The sequence below is a fragment of the Homo sapiens genome, chromosome 19, assembly GCF_000001405.40.
Source record: "Homo sapiens chromosome 19, GRCh38.p14 Primary Assembly".
NCBI classification, from domain to species: Eukaryota; Metazoa; Chordata; class Mammalia; order Primates; family Hominidae; genus Homo; species Homo sapiens.
In genome coordinates, this window is record NC_000019.10 from 4,323,935 (window position 1) to 4,341,248 (window position 17,314).

The window sequence follows — 17,314 nt, forward strand, 5'->3', positions numbered from 1 at the left end:
TAGATTTCACTGAGCTGAGGGTCACTGGGAGTAAATGGGGCCATCCGTAGGCAGACATCTGACGGACCCCTCGTCCCCTAATCCCCCAAGCCAAGCCAGACACATGGGTCCTGGGGTCAGAGTTTTAATCCTGGGAAAAAGAATCTGGCCGCTGGGCCATGCCCTGGGACTAGCCCGCTGGTCCCTGGTGTGTCCGAATCAGTGCTCCAGTGCCCGCCTCTTCTCCAGCTTCTTCTGTAGCTCTGCCGTCATGTCTGCCAGCCCTGGGGGTTCAGGACCAGGAGCTGCAGCTGGCTCAGGGATCCCCAGTCCATGCCCACCGCCCTGACAGCCACCCAGGACCAGCTACAGATTTGCAGGGCCCCGTGCAACAGGACAGTGTGCTCGAAGGCATTAAGAATTTCAAGACAGAGACAGCAGAACCTTAAAAGACAGGGCGCTTCGGAGTGTGGGGACTTGTGTGACTGTACGGTCACACACCTGGGAAGCCCGCCCCGCACTGACCCCGCAGACCCCTTACCGGCTGTGGGGAAGAGAGGCTGGGCTGAACTGACTGGCAGCTTCCTGCCCAAGCCACCATTAAAGACTTTGGGCTCTGGAAGAGAAGACAGATGAGGCCAGGTGTGGTGGCTCACGCCGGTAATCCCAGCACTTTGGGAGGCTGAGGTGGGTGGATCACTTGAGGTCAGGAGTTCGAGACCAGCCTGGGCAACATGGTGAAACCCCTTCTCTACTAAAAATACAAAAATTAGATGGACGTGGTGGCAGGTGCCTGTAATCCCAGCTACTTGGGAGGCTGAGGCAGGAGAATCACTTGAACCCGGCAGACAGAGGTTGCAGTGAGCTGAGATCGCGCCACTGCCTGGGCAACAGAGTGAGACTCCATCTCAAAACAAAAAACAACAATAAAGACAGATGAGCTGGGTGCGGTGGCTCACGCCTGTAATCCCAGCACTTTGGGAGGCCGAGGTGGGCGGATCACGAGGTCAGGAGATCAAGACCATCCTGGCTAACATGGTGAAACCCCGTCTCTACTAAAAATACAAAAAAAAAAATTAGCTGGGCATGGTGGCGGGCACCTGTAGTCCCAGCTACTGGAGAGGCTGAGGCAGGAGAATGGCGTGAACCCAGGAGGCGGAGCTTGCAGTGAGCCAAGGTTGTGCCACTGCACTCCAGCCTGGGCGACAGAGTGAGACTGTCTCAAAAAAAAAAAAAAAAGTCAGATGAGGGCTGAGGCTGGCCTGCCATCAGGTGAGGGTGGGATATGGGGGGGACCCCAACCTGGCTTGGGTCCAACGGGTGGCTTTGGAAGCTTGGCAGGAGGCTTTGGCAACTTCTTTGGCTTCAGGATGACTGGCCAACTAGAGGAAGCCACTGCGTGGACAAAAGTGTAACGTGTCACATCAGCTGTTAACCTGTTTCCCCAACCCCCAGCTCTCAGCAGCTCTGTTCCCCACCCACCATCTTGGTTCTCATAGTCAACAGCTGGGCCATCTCCAATGGGGGTCACGTAGTTCTCTTCCTGGTTCGGTAGTGGGGGCAGTGGGGGCAGCTTGTCCTGGCTAGACGCAGGTGACAGCGGCTTGGGGCCACCTGTGCAGGGTGCAGGACCTGATGGGGAAACGTGGTCACTGTCAAGACCCATGTCATACAGGGACACCTTGCAGGTTGGCGGGGGGGTCTGTGTGCATGCCTGGAGACAGGCATGTGTCCCTGTGTGTCTGTGTGTGTGCCCATGTATAAGTCTGTGTCTGGGCCGGGCGCGGTGGCTCACGCCTGTAATCCCAGCACTTTGGGAGGCCAGGGTGGGCGGATCACCTGAGGTCAGGGGTTCAAGACCAGCCTGGCCAATATGGTGAAACCCCGTCTCTACTAAAAATACAAAAATTAGCTTGGCGTGGTGGCAGGCTCCTGTAATCGCAGCTACTCGGGGCTGAGGCAGGAGAATCGCTTGAACCTGGGAGGGAGAGGTTGCAGTGAGCCGAGATTGCGCCACTGCACTCCAGCCTGGGTGACAGAGCAAGACTCCATCTCAAAAAAAAAAAAAAGTCTTTGTGTGGCATACACGTGTACACTAATTGAATCTAGATAAGTTAAAGTGCAACGTTTGTACACACACACCTGTGGTGTGTATACGTGTGTGACTGCACGCCTGCTGAGGTGGCTGCTTTAGTCCTTGTCTACATGAGTGCGTTTTGCCCGTGTATCTACACGTGTCCGAGTTTGTGCCGGTGCACGGACGTATCTGCATTTATGTGTACACATGTGATTGTGGCATGACACAGGTGTATCTGTGCTACATAGCATTTGTATGTGACTGGAATTGGGGCACACGTGTATTTATGCATGTGTGATCTGTTGTGCCCGCACAAGTGTGTGTCACCTTCTGGCTAGGCAGGTGGCCACAGTTGCATGGATCATGCATGTGTAATGTGTGTGTGGATGTGGCACTTGGGGGTCCTTGCATACGCCCAGACCAGGGAAGACCAGACAACCCACGCTACATTCCTTTCTAGTGTGTTCTCTGCCTCCTCTTCCCACTCCATAAACAGGACCGATTTCCACCTCTTTCCCAACACCCACCCGGATTCTCGGTCCCTGTGGGGCTACTGCTTGTCCGGGTGTACCCTCTGACCCCTCAATGCCCATTTCTACCTAAGGAGATCCTTTGGGACCATCTGCAAAGACCCACTCTTCTGGGAAGCTTTCCCTGCTCTGCCCCCATCTTCTCCCGAACTCTAGGCGCCTCCCCCGAGCCCAGGTTTTTCCTCCACCCCAAATTCAACCCTACAGGATGAGAGTGTCTGTGTTTAGCTCTGTCCCAAGCTGGGACCCCCGCCCCCTCCCCCACACACACACCCTGACGGCAGGGTCTGAGTCATTTCTGTCCCTGCAACTTTGGGAACATCAGATGCAGGAGGTGCAGCCACCAAACTGACTGAGGGGGCGTGGCTGAATGCGGGGTCCTCGATCCCTCCCACCTCGGCCCGCGGGAAGGGGGCGTCACCTGGGCCCGGAGCGGAGGGCGCCACCCACACATTCTCGCCATTCTCCTTATCGGCTTCCACGTAGCCTGGAACAGAGAGGGCGGCCTGGAGGAAGCGCGGCGGCCAGGGGCGGCCCGGTCCGTCCGAGCGGGGGCGGGAGAGGTGAGCACTGGGCCCCCGAACTCCCCGAAGGGGCACCCACCTAGCACCTTCTCGTAGTCCTCGTCTAACAGGAATGGCACCAGCGCCTTTTTGGTATGCGACACGAAATAGTTGACCACGGCGTCCAGGGAGGTGCAAGAGAACTGGGGGCAGATGGGGGAGCGGTCAGGCTGCTGGAGAAGGGACGCGGACCCCACAAAGTCACTTCTAGGGACTCTGGCCCAACGCTCACCGGCTGTTCCACATCGATCACGTACTTGGGGCCCTCCCGCTTCACCTTGTAATGCCGGACCACGTGCGTCCTGCACCAGGAGAAAGCGAGTGAGTGGCTCAGCCCAGGCTCCCACACCGCCCCTCAGGGAAGGCCCCGCCCCAACTCCAGGCTCCGCCTCCAATAGAAACAGGTCCATACTGGCTCCGCCCCCACAGAAGGCCCCGCCACTGACTGGTTCCACCCCATAAAGGACCTAAGCCCCGTTGACCTCCCGGAGCACTGACTGCCCGATCCCAGCACTGCTCCCAGCGGGGACCAGGCCCGACCGACCCACCCCCACAGAAGACCCCACCTCTAGTCTTGGCACCACCTCCAGCGAGGGACCAGGCCAGACTGACAACACCCTAGGAAAGGTCCGCCCCTAATTCTGGCACCGCGCCTAGGGAGAACCAGGCCCTAAAGACCCCGCCCCAGGTAGGCCCCGCCCCCTGTAATGGCTCCACCCCCAGGCACCGACTCTACCTTCTACATCGCCTTGCCCAACCCTGGACTGGGCTTGAGAATTTGGCATAAGGCTCTGACTTCGCCCCCAGGGCTGGCTCCGCCTCCATAGCCCTACTCAACTTCCAAAAAGGATCACGGCCATGACTCCCCCCCGTAGATCCTGACGCTGCCCAAAGAGCCCATTCCCATCCCTGGATTTGACTTCATCCCCTCCAGTGGCCCAGACCTGGCCCCTGCGTACCTGACGTTCCGGAGGGGCCGATCCTAACCTAGGAGTCTGACTCCACCTACAGGGAGTCCCAGCTCCTAACCCAAGACCTGGCTCTTCCTGCAAAGGAGTCGGCCTGGGCTCTACCTTCTTCCCTAGGCATTAACCCCATACCTGGGGCAAGGCCAGCCTCAGGATCCCACGACCCCGGAGCTCTGATCCCGCCCCCAGCCCTCCCTGCCCAGCTCTGACTCCGCCCCCATGCTCCCCTGCCTAGCATTGACTCCACCCCTCCCCCAGCCCGCCCACCCCAGCTCTGACTCCGCCCCAACACGCCCAGCGTAGCTCTGATTCCGCCACCAGTGTACTCTGCTCAGCTCTGACTCCACCCGCCCCAGCTCGCCCAGCCCAGCTCTGACTCCTCCCCCAATCCGCCCAGCCCAGCTCTGACTCCTCCCCCAATCCGCCCACCTCAGCTCTGACTCCTCCCCCAATCCGCCCAGCTCAGCTCTGACTCCGTCCCCAGACGCCCGTCTCGGCTCTGGCTCCGTCCCCTGGCCTACCCACTAGCGGGTCGGACTCCGCCCCTGCTTCTGACCACGCCCCCGCGCCCACCCTCTTCCCACCCTCCTCCCACCCAGGGCTCTCCAGACGCGCATGCGCACCCGTTGTGCATCTGCCGCGTGGTGACCGACACGCCGTCGGCGCCGTCCCCGCTGGGCCGCAGCAGCAGGTTCCCGCACTCGGGGTAGCGCTCCAGGAGCAGTTGTGCCTCCAGCCGGCTCACCTTCAGGAAGCACCTGTGGCGGGCCGCGTCACCCACTCGGGACCCCGGAGACCAAGTCCGCTCTTCTGCACGTAAACCCTGCCTCCTCTGAGACCCAGCCCCATCCCCATCCCCTAGGCCCAGGAGACCCTGCCCTGCTCTCCAGACCCAGGCCCCTCCCACGGAGACCCAGTCCGGCCTTCCAGGCTCCTAGTTTTTGTGGGGTTTTTTGTTTTTTTTTTGAGACAGGGTTTCGCTCTTGTTGCCCAGGCTGGAGTGCAATGGCGCTATCTCGGCTCACCGCAACCTCCGCCTCCCGGGTTCAAGCGATTCCCCTTCCTCACAGGCCCGGCTAATTTTTGTATTTTTAGTAGAGACGGGATTTCTCCATGTTGGTCAGGCTGGTCTCAAACTCCCTACCTCAGGTGATCCGCCCGCCTCGGCTTCCCAAGGTGCTGGGATTACAGGCGTGAGCCACTGCATCTGGCCGGGTTTTTTGGTTTTTTTTTTCTTTAGAGATGGGGTCTCGCTATGTTGCCCAGGATGGGTCTCGAACTGGGTAAAAGCAATCCTCCCGCCTCGACCTCCCAAAACGCTGAGATGACAGGCGCGAGCCACCGCGGCCAGCCAGGCTCTTAATTCTGGCCCCGGAGATGCAGCTCCAACCCCTAGGGAGACCCAGCCCTGCCTCGTAGGCACCTAGAGCCTCCCCTGGAGATCCTGTCCCGCCCTCCAAACACCTAGACCTTACCCTGGAGGCCCTGCCCGCCTCCCTGATCACCAAGAACCGCCCACAAAGACGATGCTCCGCCCCCCATCCAGGCCCCGCCTCTAGGGTCCCGGTTACCCTCTCCGACAAATAACTCCTCCCCGGAGACGAAGCATCACCTTCTAGACACCTAGACTGACCACCCCCAGACCCTGTCCCTACTCCTCAGGCCTAGGCCCCGCCACTGAAGACCTTACCAGTCCTCTAGGCCCCTAGACCCGCTCCTGGAGATCCTGCCCTGCCTCCCCAGCATGGGCCATAACTCCCCCTCCCCCTCCCCCACCCCCAGCCCCAAGGCAGTCCTCATGCAAAATCCAAGACCCAACTCCAGGGGACCCAACTCACCGCCCACCCTCAGCCACACAACCACCTCCCGTCCCCATCCTGCAGCCCCTCGGGACAGGCGGGACACTCACGAGGGTGTCTCCAGTGCACGGCGCGCCTCCTCTTTGGCCAAGACTTCAGACATCATGTATAGGTGCCCAGGAAGCAGGGTCAAGTCGGTCGGGACACGGAGCTGAGGGGCGATCGAGGGACAGTGACTGCACCTGGCCAGCCGGGAATGGACGGCTGTGCCCAAGTCACAGAGTGGCAAATTGAGGCCAGAGCTCAGAGCAATGAACTCTGACACCTTAGAGGGCAAAGAGGGCTTCGAGAGGGTTGCAGAGGAGTGTTGCATGAGAGTAGATGCTGGGGCCGGGCGCGGTGGCTCACGCCTGTAATCCCAGCACTTTGGGAGGCCGAGGCGGGCGGATCACCTAAGGTCAGGAGTTCGAGACCAACCTGGGCAACATGGCGAAACCCCGTTTGTACTAAAAATACAAAAAATTAGCCGGGCGTGGTGGCAGACACCTGTAATCCCAGCTACTCGGGAGGCTGGGGCAGGAGAATCACTTGAACCTGGGAAGGCGGAGGCTGCAGTAAGCCAAGATCACGCCATTGCACTCCAGCCTGGGTGACAGAGTGAGACTCCGTTCCCCGCTCCCCAACCCCACCAAAAAAAAAAAAAAAAGTAGATGCTGGAATCTAGGGTCTCAAACTAAAGTCTGCAGGGGCCAGGCAGGTCTCAAACTCAATGGCCTGCCAGGGTGAGGTAGGAAACAGGGAAATCAGAGGGAAATCAGGAAGGTAGACTAAAATTCCCGGTTGATAAATGATGTCAGCTAATTTTTTTTTTTTTTTTTTTTTTGAGATGGAGTTTAGTTCTGTCACCAAGCTGGAGTGCAGTGGCGCGATCTTGGCTCACTGCAACCTCCGACTCCCGGGTTCAAGCCATTCTCCTGCCTCAGCCTCCCGAGTAGCTGGAATTACAGGCTCCCGCCACCACGCCCAGCTGATTTTTGTATTTTTAGTAGAGACAGGGTTTCACCGTGTTGGCCAGGATGGTCTTGATCTCCTGACCTCATGATCTGCCAGCCTCGGCCTCCCAAAGTGCTGGGATTACAGGCGTGAGCCACCACGCCTGGCCAATGTCAGCTAATTTTTAAAAACTTAGCACTCTGTGGCCAGGCATGGTGGCTCACATCTATAATCCTATCACTTTGGGAGGCCAAGGAGGGTGGATTGCTTGAGCACGGAAGTTGGAGACCAGCCCGGGCAACATAGTGAGACCCTGCTCTACAAAAAAATTTTTAAATTAGTCAGATGTGGTAGTGTGTGTCTGTATCCCAGCTACTTGGGAGGCTGAGGCAGGAGGACTGCTTGAGCCTGGGAGTTGGAGGCTGCAGTGAGCTATGATCACACCACTGCACTCCAGCCTGGGCAACAGAGAGAGACCTTGTCTCAAAAAAATAAAATAAGAAATACGGTTGGTCGCTGTGGCTCACGCCTGTAATCCCAGCACTTTGAGTGGCCAAGGCGGGCAGATGACTCAAGGTCAGTTCAAGACCAGCCTGGCCAACAGGGTGAAACCCCATGTATACTAAAAATACAAAAATTAGCCAGGCGTGGTGGCGGACGCCTGTAATCCCAGCTACTCGGGAGGCTGAGTCACAAGAATTGCTTGAACCGGGGAGGCAGAGGTTGCAGTGAGCTGAGAACGTGCCATTGCACTCCAGCCTGGGCAACAGAGTGAGACTCTGTCTCAAAAAAATAAAACAAAATTTTGGCCGGGCCCGGTGGCTCACGCCTGTAATCCCAGCACTTTGGGAGGCTGAGGCGGGTGGATCACGAGTTCAGGAGACAGAGACCATCCTGGCTAACACAGTGAAACCCCGTCTCTACTAAAATACAAAAAAATTAGCCGGGCGTGGTGGCGGGCTTCTGTAATCCCAGCTACTCCGGAGGCTGAGGCACGAGAATGGCGTGAACCCGGGAGGCGGAGCTTGCAGTGAGCCGAGATCGCACCACTGCACTCCAGCCTGGGCGACAGAGCGAGACTCCGTCTCAAAAAAAGAAAAAAAGAAAGAAAGAAAAAGGAGGCTTTTTGAGGAGATCTGGAGAATGGGAGAGAGGGCGCAGAGAGCCACTACTCTTACCTCCACCACCGTTAAGATGAAGCCTTTCCACATTTCCCGACACTCCAAGGTCTCTACCTGGGGAACAAAAGAAAGGAAAGAATCCAAGTCAGTGAGCCTCAGTCTACTCATCAATGAAATTGGACTAGGGAAGAGTCCCTGCTTCAAAGGGCCGTTTTCTTTTTTCTTTTTCTTCTTTTTTTTTTTTTTTTTTTTTTTTTTGAGATGGAGTCTCATTCTTCTGTCGCCCAGGCTAGAGTACAGTGGCGCGATCTCAGCTCACTGCAACCTCCACCTCCCAGGTTCAAGCGATTCTCCTGCCTCAGCCTCCTGAGTAGCTGGGACTACAGGCATGCACCACCTCGCCCAGCTTTTTTTTTTTTCTCTTAGACATGAGGGTCTCGCTTTGTTGCCAGGCTGGTCTTGAACTCCTGGGCCCAAGCTATCCTTCTGCCTTGGCGTCCCAAAGTGCTCAGATTACAGGCATGAGCCACCATGCCTGGCTGATATTATGATTTTTGATGTTATTATATCAACATTTGAAAAACATAGATCAGGCTGGATGCAGTGGCTCACTCACGCCTGTAATCCCAGCACTTTGGGAGGTCGAGGCGGGAGGATCACTTGAGCCTAGGGGTTCAAGACCAGACTGGGTAACATAGCGAGCCCCCTGTCTCTACAAAAAAATAAAATATTAGCCAGGCATAGTGGCATGTGCTTGGCTGAGGTAGGAGGATCGATCGCTTGAGCCCGGGAGGTCGAGGCTGCAGTGAGCTATGATCTCACTACTGCACTCCAGCCTGGGCGACGAGCAAGACCCTGTCTCAAAATAAAATAATAAATAAAATAAAATAATAGAAAAACATAGATCAGTTCCCAGACCTCTCATGCTCTAAACCCTCCCATAGGCCAGCCACCGTGACTCATGCCTGTAATCCCAGCACTTTGGGAGGCCGAGGTGGGTGGATCACTTGAGGTCAGGAGTTCGAGACCAGCCTGGCCAACATGGTGAAACCCTGTCTCTACCAAAAATACAAAAATTAGCTGTGCGTGGTGGCACACGCCTGTAATCCCAGCTACTCGGGAGGCTGAGGCAGGAGAATCACTTAAACCTGGGAGGCAGAGGTTGTAGTGAGCCAAGATTGCACTACTGCACTCCAGCCTGGGTGATAAGAGCGAAACTCAAAAAATAAAAATAAAAAATAAACCCTCGGCTGGACACGGTGGCTCACGCCTATAATTCCAGCAGTTTGGGAAGCCGAGGTGGGTGGATCACCTGAGGTGAGGAGTTCCAGGCCAGCATGGCCAACATGGTGAAACCCCATCTCTACTAAAGATTCAAAAAATTAGCCAGGAGTGGTTGCGTGCGCCTGTAATCCCAGCTACTTGGGAGGCTGAGGCAGGAGAATCACTTGAACCTGGGAGGTGGAGGTTGCAGTGAGCCAAGATCGTGCCATTGCACTCCAGCCTGGGTGACAGGGCGAGACTTGGTCTCAAAAAAAAAGTAATAAAATAAAATAAAATAAACCCTCCCATAGCACCCAGCTCCTTTGGGGTCAAGACCCAAGTCTTACCCAGGGCCCACAGGGCCCTGTACTACCTGCCCCTTCGTGGTTGGCACAATGGAGGGTAGGAGCATTTGAGCATCTTCTGCAAGCACCGCCCCTCTGCACCCCTCCAGCAAGGGACCTACCTTGAACTTGATCTCCTGATCCCGGAGAATCAGGCTGAAGTGGGTGCCAGGGTCACGTGAGCTTCCCCAGGGAATCTCATCTGTGAGTTTCTCAAATGCTCCCAAGTTGAGCTTCTCCACGTGCTGGGGGCATAGAAGCAGGGGATCTGGGCACCAGTTCCTTGGCCTCCAGGCCCCCTGGATGATGTAGCAGCCACCTTGACCACACCATCTACATTGTCTGCTTGGTCTCTGGGCTCAAGGGAAGGCCTGCTCTGGAGCCTCCATTCCCATCCTTACCTGGAAGTCCCGATTGCTATTGTAGAAATAAATGGTGAGACCCTGCAGGCCTGCCCAGAACTTCTTGTAATCCTAGGGACCAGAAGTGCAGAAAGAAGAGGTGAGCTGGCCAAGCTGAGTGCCTTTCATGTACTCAATCCTGTCTCGGGGCCTTTGCACTGGTTGTGCTCTCTGCCCCACGCTGCCCCCAGATCTTTATTACCTCCTGCCTTGAGTTTCTGATCAAATGTACCTTCTCAGGGAGATCCTCCCCACCCATGGCCCAGCTTCTGGGTGTCTGTTTTCGTCTGAGAAAGGACCAGACGGAACCTCGATGTGATGAGGGATTCAGAGCAACCCCCGCCAATCTATAGAGATGGGTGCTCTAGGGGTAAGTTAACTAACTGGTTTAATGGTATCCCATTCATCTTTCATCATCCAGCTACCCACTAGCCATCTATCTATCATCCATCTGTCCATCCGCCCACCCACCCATTCATCCATCCACCTACCATTGACCCATCCATTCACCCATTCATCCATCCATCCATCTGCCCACCATCCATCCACCAATCCGTCCACCCACCCACCCATCCACACATCCATCCATCCAGTTATTCATCCACCCACCCACCCATTCATCCATCCACCTACCATTTACCCATCCATTCATCCATTCATCTATCCATCCACCCACTCATCCATCCGTCCATCACCCCCATCCATCCATCTATCCATCATGGAGCCATTCATCATCCATCCATCCAGTCATTCATCAATACCTACATCACCCACCATCCATCCAGTCATCCATCCACCCACACATCCATCTGTCCACCCATCCATCCATCCCTCCATCATCCATCCACTCATCCATCCACCCACTCATCCATCCATCCACTCATCTATCAATGCATCCCTCCATCCATCCACCTACTCATCCATCCATCCACCCATCCATCCATCCCTCCATAATCCATCCATCCATCCACTCACCGTCCATCATCCATCCACCCACTCATCCATCCACCCACTCATCCATCCACCCACTCATCAATCCATCCACCCATCCATCCACCTATCCATCCATCCCTCCATCATCCACCCACCATCTATCATCCATCCACCCACTCATCCATCCACCCACTCATCCATCCATCCATCCATACATCCATCCACTCATCTATCAATGCATCCCTCCATCATCCATCCACCTACTCATCCATCCATCCCTCATCCATCCATCATCCATCCATCCACTCATCCCTCCATCATCCATCCACCTACTCATCCATCCATCATCCATCCATGCATTCATCCATTCACCATCCACCCACCCACGCATCTTCCCGTTCATCCATCCATACATCCCTCCATCGTGCATCCACCTATTCATCCATCTATCATTCATCCATGCACTTGTTCATCCATCCATCATCCACCCACCCACCCGTCTGCCCACTCATCCATCCATCCACTCCCCCATCCATCCATCCACCCACTTGTATATGCACTCATCCATCCACCCACACATCCTCTCAGCCACCATCAAGCCCGCATGTATTCACCAAGCCTCCACTCATCCCCCCATCTACCCATCCACCTGTCCATCCGTAGACACAAGCACAGATACACACATGCATTTACCTAACATTTACTGAAGGCTTTTTATGTGCCAGCCCTGCTCCAGGCACTGGGACTAGAGCAATACAGGATTAAACACTGTATTGCTTCATTATGTACCCACGATGTGCTGTTGGGCAAGTTATTTGAGCTGTCTTTGTCTGTTTCCCCAGCTGTAAAATGGTGATAATAATGGTGCCAACTCTGGAGGATCTCATGAGAATTAGGTGACTTTCCACATGGGAAGCACCAGGGCCTGCGTTGAGTCAAGTCCTCAACACGTGAACTGTGACTACAGCCCTAACTCCCTATTTCAGAAGACAGAAAACTAAGGCTCAAAGATTAAGTCACTTGCATAAGGCCTGGGAGTAAGGAAAGTGTGGAGCCGGGATTAGAACCTGGGTCTTCTTAATTCGGGCCCATGATCTTTTTTGTTTTGTTTTGTTTTGTTTTTAAGAGACAGAGTCTTGCTCTGTCGCCCAGGCTGGAGTGCAGTGGTGCGATCTCGGCTCACTGCAACCTCCACCTCCCAGTTCGAGCCATTCTCCTGCCTCAGCTTCTCAAGTAGCTGGGATTACAAGTGCGCACCACCACATCCAGCTAATTTTTGTATTTTTTAGTAGAGGTGGGGTTTCACTATATGTTGGCCAGGGTGTTCTCGAACTCCTGACCTCAAGTGATCCGCCGGCCTCGCCCTCCCAAAGTGTTGGGATTACAGGCGTGAGCCACTGCACACTGCCTTTTTTTTTTTTTTTTTTTTTTGAGACAGAGTCTCACTCTGTCACCTAGGCTGAAATGCGGTGGCACCATCTCAGCTCACTGCAACCCCCCCGCCCCAGTTCAAGCAATTCTCCTGCCTCAGCCTCCCGAGTAGCTGGGATTACAGGTGCACACCACCACGCCCAGCTATTTTTATTTTTAGTAGAGATGGGGTTTCATCATGTGGCCAGGCTGGTCTTGAACTCCTGACCTCAAGTGATCCTCCCACCTCGGCCTCCCAAAGTGTTGGGTTACAGGCGTGAGCCACCACGCCCGGCCCCCATTATCTTTCTTTTCTTTTTTTTTTCTTTTTGTTTTTGAGAGCAGTCTCGCTCTTGTCCCCCAGGTTTGAGTGCAATGGCTTGATCTTGACTCACTGCAAACTTCGCCTCTCAGGCTCAAATGATTCTCCTGCCTCTGCCTCCCAAGTAGCTGGGATTAAGGCGCCTGGCACCATACCCAGCTAATTTTTGTATTTTTTAGTAGAGACGAGGTTTCACCATATTGGCCAGGTTGGTCTTGAACTCCTGACCTCAGGTGATCCGCCTGCCTCGGCCTCCCAAAGTGCTGGGATTACAGGCGTGAGCCACAAGCCCGGCCTCCCCCATTATCTTTCTTAACTGCAGTGATCTACTGGCTCTAAAGGGTTTGTTGGTTGGGGAGGATTTGGATGTATGGAGGTAGAAGGAAAGTCTACTCCACTACAGGTAAGGGAACCTCAGGGGCAGAGGCGGGGACATGGGCAGGGAGGAGCTGGGGGTGTTTGTTTTGATCTGTATTAGAAAATGAGGCAGTCATGGTGGCTCACACCTCTAATCCCAGCAGTTTGGGAGGCTGAGACAGGAGGATCACTTAAGGCCAGGAGTTTGAGACCAGCCTGGGCAACATAGCAAGACCCCATCTTTTTTTTTTTTTTGAGACGGAGTCTTGCTCTGTTGCCCAGGCTGGAGTGCAGTGGCACGATCTTGGCTCACTGCAACCTCTGCCTCCCAGGTTCAAGTGATTCTCCTGCCTCAGCCTCCAGAGTAGCTGGGATCACAGGCACGCACCACCACGCCCGGCTAATCTTTGTATTTTTAGTAGAGACGGGGTTTCACCATATTGGCCAGGCTGGTCTCAAACTCCTGACTTCAGGTGATCCACCTGCCTCAGCCTCCCTAAGTGCTGGGATTACAGGTGTGACCCACTGCGCCTGGCCAGCAAGACCCCATCTTCAAAAAAAAAAAAAAAAGGCTGGGTGCGGTGGCTCATGCCTGTAATCCCAGCATTTAGAGAGGCCGAGACAGGTGGATCACCTGAGGTCAAGAGTTCAAGACCAGCCGGGCCAACAAAATGAAACACTGTCTTTACTAAAAATACAAAAATTAGGTGTGGTGGTGCGTACCTGTAATCCCAGCTACTCGGGAGGCTGAGGCACGAGAATCGCTTAATCGTTTGAACCTGGGAGGTGGAGGTTGCAGTGAGCCGAGATGGTGCCACTGCACTGCAGCCTGGGTGACAGAGTGAGACTCAGTCTCAAAAATAAATAAATAAAATAAAAGCCAGAAGAGGCAGTGCATGCCTGTGGTCCCAGCTACTCAGGAGGCTGGGGCGGGAGGTTCACTTGAGCCCAGGAGTTTGAGGCTACAGTGAGCCATGATCGTGCCCCTGCACTCTAGCCTGGGTGACAGAGCAACTCTGTCTCTAACAAAAAGAAAGAAAGAAAATGAATATGCGGCATTGGGAAGGAGAGATAGGGCCTCACGGGGAACGGAGGGGCTGGGACTTTATTCTGAGGGAGACATAAGCACACACACACACACACATGCACGCACTGTCCATGGCAACTATCTGTCCTGTGGAATGTGGCCCCCGCTAGCTCTTACTGTCCTCACATGTCACCTGTCCTGGCCTTCGCCCCAGCAGCTGAGGTTCACGGAGTTTTTCCTGGGCTGGGAGCGGGAGGAAGCTCGGGAGTCAGAGGACTCCCCATTTCCTGGAGGAAGTCCCTGATCTTGTTTGTATTCAAGAGAGTGAACGAGAGACAAAAGCAAAGATTGAGACAAAGAGAGAGGGAGACTGAGACAGACATCGGGAGAGACAGACGGGGCCAGGGAGAGAGAAAGAGAAAAAGAAACCAAATTCAAAGACACACGGAGACAGAGATAGACGCACAGAGAGGCAGATGGCCAGAACCCACCCCAGTCCCCCAGCACGTGTCCTGCCCCATCCAGCACCCACCCCGCCCCCCCTTGGCGAGTGGGGAGACAGGGACTCAGAGAGGTGCCGCAGCTCCCCACGGTGGCCCAGCAGGGCCAGCCCCCGCCTCCCCACCTTACCCGGTCACAGGGCCCCTTCTTCTCTAGAAAGCTCTCATAGTAGTGTGAAGGCAGGACACCCTTAGGCTTGGGGACACGGGGTGGCCTCAGGGCAGAGGCCATGACGGAGCCAGGGTCTTCCGCCTGGCCTCTCCTTCCAGTGGGTGCCCCAGCTGGGCCGGGAAGCTGAGAAACAGGTTTCAGGGGAGTTTCCTGTGTCAGCCCGTCAACTCCCTCCCCTGCCAGGGCTGGGCAGAGGCTGATCCCAGCAGGTCCAGTGATCCTAGGGAAATCCCCGCCTCTCCGGTGTGGAACTGAGAACAGAGAGAATGTATAAGTCTACTTGAATGGGAGAATAATCTTCGCTATATCTGCAAAGACAGAGACATGGTCTGTCTCTTTATTTATTTATTTATCTATTTTTCCTATTTTGAGACAGAGTTTCACTCTGTTGCCCAGGCTGGAGTAAAGTGGTATGATCTTGGCTCACTGCGACCTCTGCCTCCCGGGTTCAAGAGACTGCGCTGCCTCCCGGGTTCAGAGACTGAGTCCAAGCTCAGTCTCCTGACTAGCGTGGATTGCAGGTGACCGCCACCACGCCTGGCTAATTTTTGTATTTGTAGTAGAGACGAGGTTTCCCCATGTTGGCCCAGGCTGGTCTCGAACTCCTGACCCCAAGTTTTCTGCCCGCCTCAGCCTCCCAAAGTGCTGAGATTACAGGCATGAGCCACCACACCTGGCCCTTTCTCTTACTTTGATGGACCCTAATGATTACATTGGGCCCACCTGGATAATCCACGCTACTCTCCCTATTTTAAAGTCAGCTGACTAGCAACTTTAATTTCATCTGCAATTTTTCTTTTTTAGACGGTGTCTCATTCTGTTGTCGATGCTGGAGTGCAGTGGCACGATCATAGTTCACTGCAGCCCTGACCTCCCAATCTCAAGCGGTCCTCCTGCCTCAGCCACCCGAAGAGCTGGGACTATAGGTGGGCACCACCACACCCAGCTAATTTATTTTCCTTTTTTAAGGATGAGTTCTCACTATGTTGCCTAGGCTGGAGTACAGTGGGGCGATCATGACTCACTGTAGCCTCGACCTTACAGGCTCAAGTGATCCTCCAGCCTCAGCCTCCAGAGTAGGTGGTACTACAGTTGCATGCCACCACACCTGGCTAATTTTTTTTTTTCTTTTTTTTGAGACAGACTCTCGCTCTGTAGCCCAGGCTGGAGTGCAGTGGCGTGATCTCGGCTCACTGCAAGCTCCGCCTCCCAGGTTCATGCCATTCGCCTGGCTCAGCCTCCCAAGTAGCTGGGATTACAGGTGCCTGCCACCACGCCCAGCTAATTTTTACACTTACTAGAGACAGGTTCTTGCTATGTTGCCCAGGCTGGTCTTTTTTTTTTTTTTTTTTTGAGACAGAGTCTTACTCTGTCACCCAGGCTGGAGTGCAGTGGAGCGATCTCGGCTTACTGCAACCTCTGCCTCCCAGGTTCAAGCAATTCTCCTGCCTCAGCCTCCCGAGTAGCTGGGATTATAGGCACGTGCCACCATGCCCAGCTAATTTGTTTGTATTTTTATTTTAGTAGAGATGGAGTTTCACTGTGTTAGCCAGGATGGTCTTAATCTCCTGACCTTGTGATCCACCTGCCTCGACCTCCCAAAGTGCTGGGATTACAGGCATAAGCCACCGTGCCCGGCCCTCAGGCTAGTCTTGAACTCCTGGGTGCAAGTGATCCTCCAGTCTAGGCCTCCCAAAGTGCTGGGGTTACAGGTGTGTGCCACTGTGCCTGGCGTCTATCTTTAATCTTCAAATCCCTTTGCCACGTATCCTAACGTATTCACAGATTCTGGGAATTAGGGCGTGGATATCTTTAAGAGACCATTATTCTGCCTACCACAGCCTGTTTAATATGGTGGACAATTGATTAATTTTGAATACTGAATCAGTCTTGGGTCCCTGGAGTAAACCCCACTTGTCATGGTGTATAATTCACTTTATATATTGTTAAATTCTACTTTGTAATATTTTGTTAAGGATTTTTGCACGTCTTCATGAGGGATATGGGGTGTAGCTTGCTTTCTTTGTACCGTCTTTATCTGGTTTTGGTATCAGGGTCATAGTTCCATAAAATGAACAGGGAAGTGTCCCCTTCAATTTTCTGGAAGAGATGATGTGAAATTGGTGTTAATTCTTCTTTGAACCTTTGGCAGAATTCCTTAGTGAAACCATCTGGGTCTGGAGATTGCTTTTTTGGGAGTTTTTAAATTACAAATTCAATTTCCTTAGTAGTTACCAGGGCTAGACTTTGTATACATAGCAGAACAGGTGTTCTAGAAATCACAGAAAGGCCGTGGGACTGTGGCAATGTGTTCATCCACTGAACTGTCTGATAAAGTTGATAGTATCAGCTATACTAAGTAAGGTCAGAGAGTTGATTTTTGTTTCGTTTTTTTGTTTGTTTGTTTTTTCAGACAGGGTTTTGCTCCTTTTGCCCAGGCTGGAGTGCAGTGGCATGATTTCGGCTCACTGCAACCTCCGCCTCCCGGGTTCAAGCGATTTTCCTGCCTCAGCCTCTGGAGTAGCTGGGATTACAGGTGCCTGCCACCACCCCCG

General features: G+C 54.2%; 1 protein-coding gene across 3 annotated transcripts, besides 2 other annotated features; it reads right to left on the reverse strand.

The window, feature by feature from the left end:
- Positions 1–108: 108 nt before the first annotated feature.
- On the reverse strand, positions 109–14,893 carry STAP2 (signal transducing adaptor family member 2). 3 transcript variants are annotated; one of them, NM_001013841.2, is made up of 13 exons: positions 14,718–14,893; positions 10,039–10,110; positions 9,760–9,882; positions 8,088–8,144; positions 6,027–6,127; positions 4,741–4,875; positions 3,382–3,451; positions 3,190–3,292; positions 3,008–3,073; positions 1,462–1,611; positions 1,282–1,374; positions 521–595; positions 109–263 (listed from the first exon to the last, which is right to left on the reverse strand). In NM_001013841.2, the coding sequence occupies exons 1-13, from the start codon at positions 14,817–14,819 to the stop codon at positions 199–201; spliced, it is 1,212 nt and encodes a 403-aa protein (NP_001013863.1). In that variant the 5' UTR covers positions 14,820–14,893; the 3' UTR covers positions 109–198. The 3 variants fall into 3 exon arrangements, with proteins under 3 accessions (NP_001013863.1, XP_011526425.1, NP_060190.2); XM_011528123.2 differs by having other exon boundaries at positions 521–730; NM_017720.3 differs by having other exon boundaries at positions 521–733.
- Positions 2,595–3,576: an enhancer, noted in NCBI's record as "H3K4me1 hESC enhancer chr19:4326526-4327507 (GRCh37/hg19 assembly coordinates)". NCBI's record gives its function as "activates a minimal SCP1, AML or CMV promoter by ChIP-STARR-seq in naive H9 embryonic stem cells {active_cell/tissue: H9 hESC(naive)}" and the evidence as "EXISTENCE:reporter gene assay evidence [ECO:0000049][PMID:30033119]".
- Positions 4,546–4,795: a silencer, noted in NCBI's record as "silent region_9885". NCBI's record gives its function as "represses an Ori minimal core promoter by ATAC-STARR-seq in GM12878 lymphoblastoid cells {active_cell/tissue: GM12878}" and the evidence as "EXISTENCE:reporter gene assay evidence [ECO:0000049][PMID:35858748]".
- Positions 14,894–17,314: the final 2,421 nt, after the last annotated feature.

Excerpts from the sequence above, each read along its gene's own strand:
- STAP2 (NM_017720.3), bottom strand. The coding sequence starts at position 14,819 with ATGGCCTCTGCCCTGAGGCCACCCCGTGTCCCCAAGCCTAAGGGTGTC. Across the intron at positions 9,883-10,038 it reads ATAGCAATCGGGACTTCCAG|CACGTGGAGAAGCTCAACTT; the intron begins GTAAGGATGGGA and ends CTATGCCCCCAG. Across the intron at positions 1,612-3,007 it reads GCCCTCCGCTCCGGGCCCAG|GTCCTGCACCCTGCACAGGT; the intron begins GTGACGCCCCCT and ends TTTCCCCATCAG.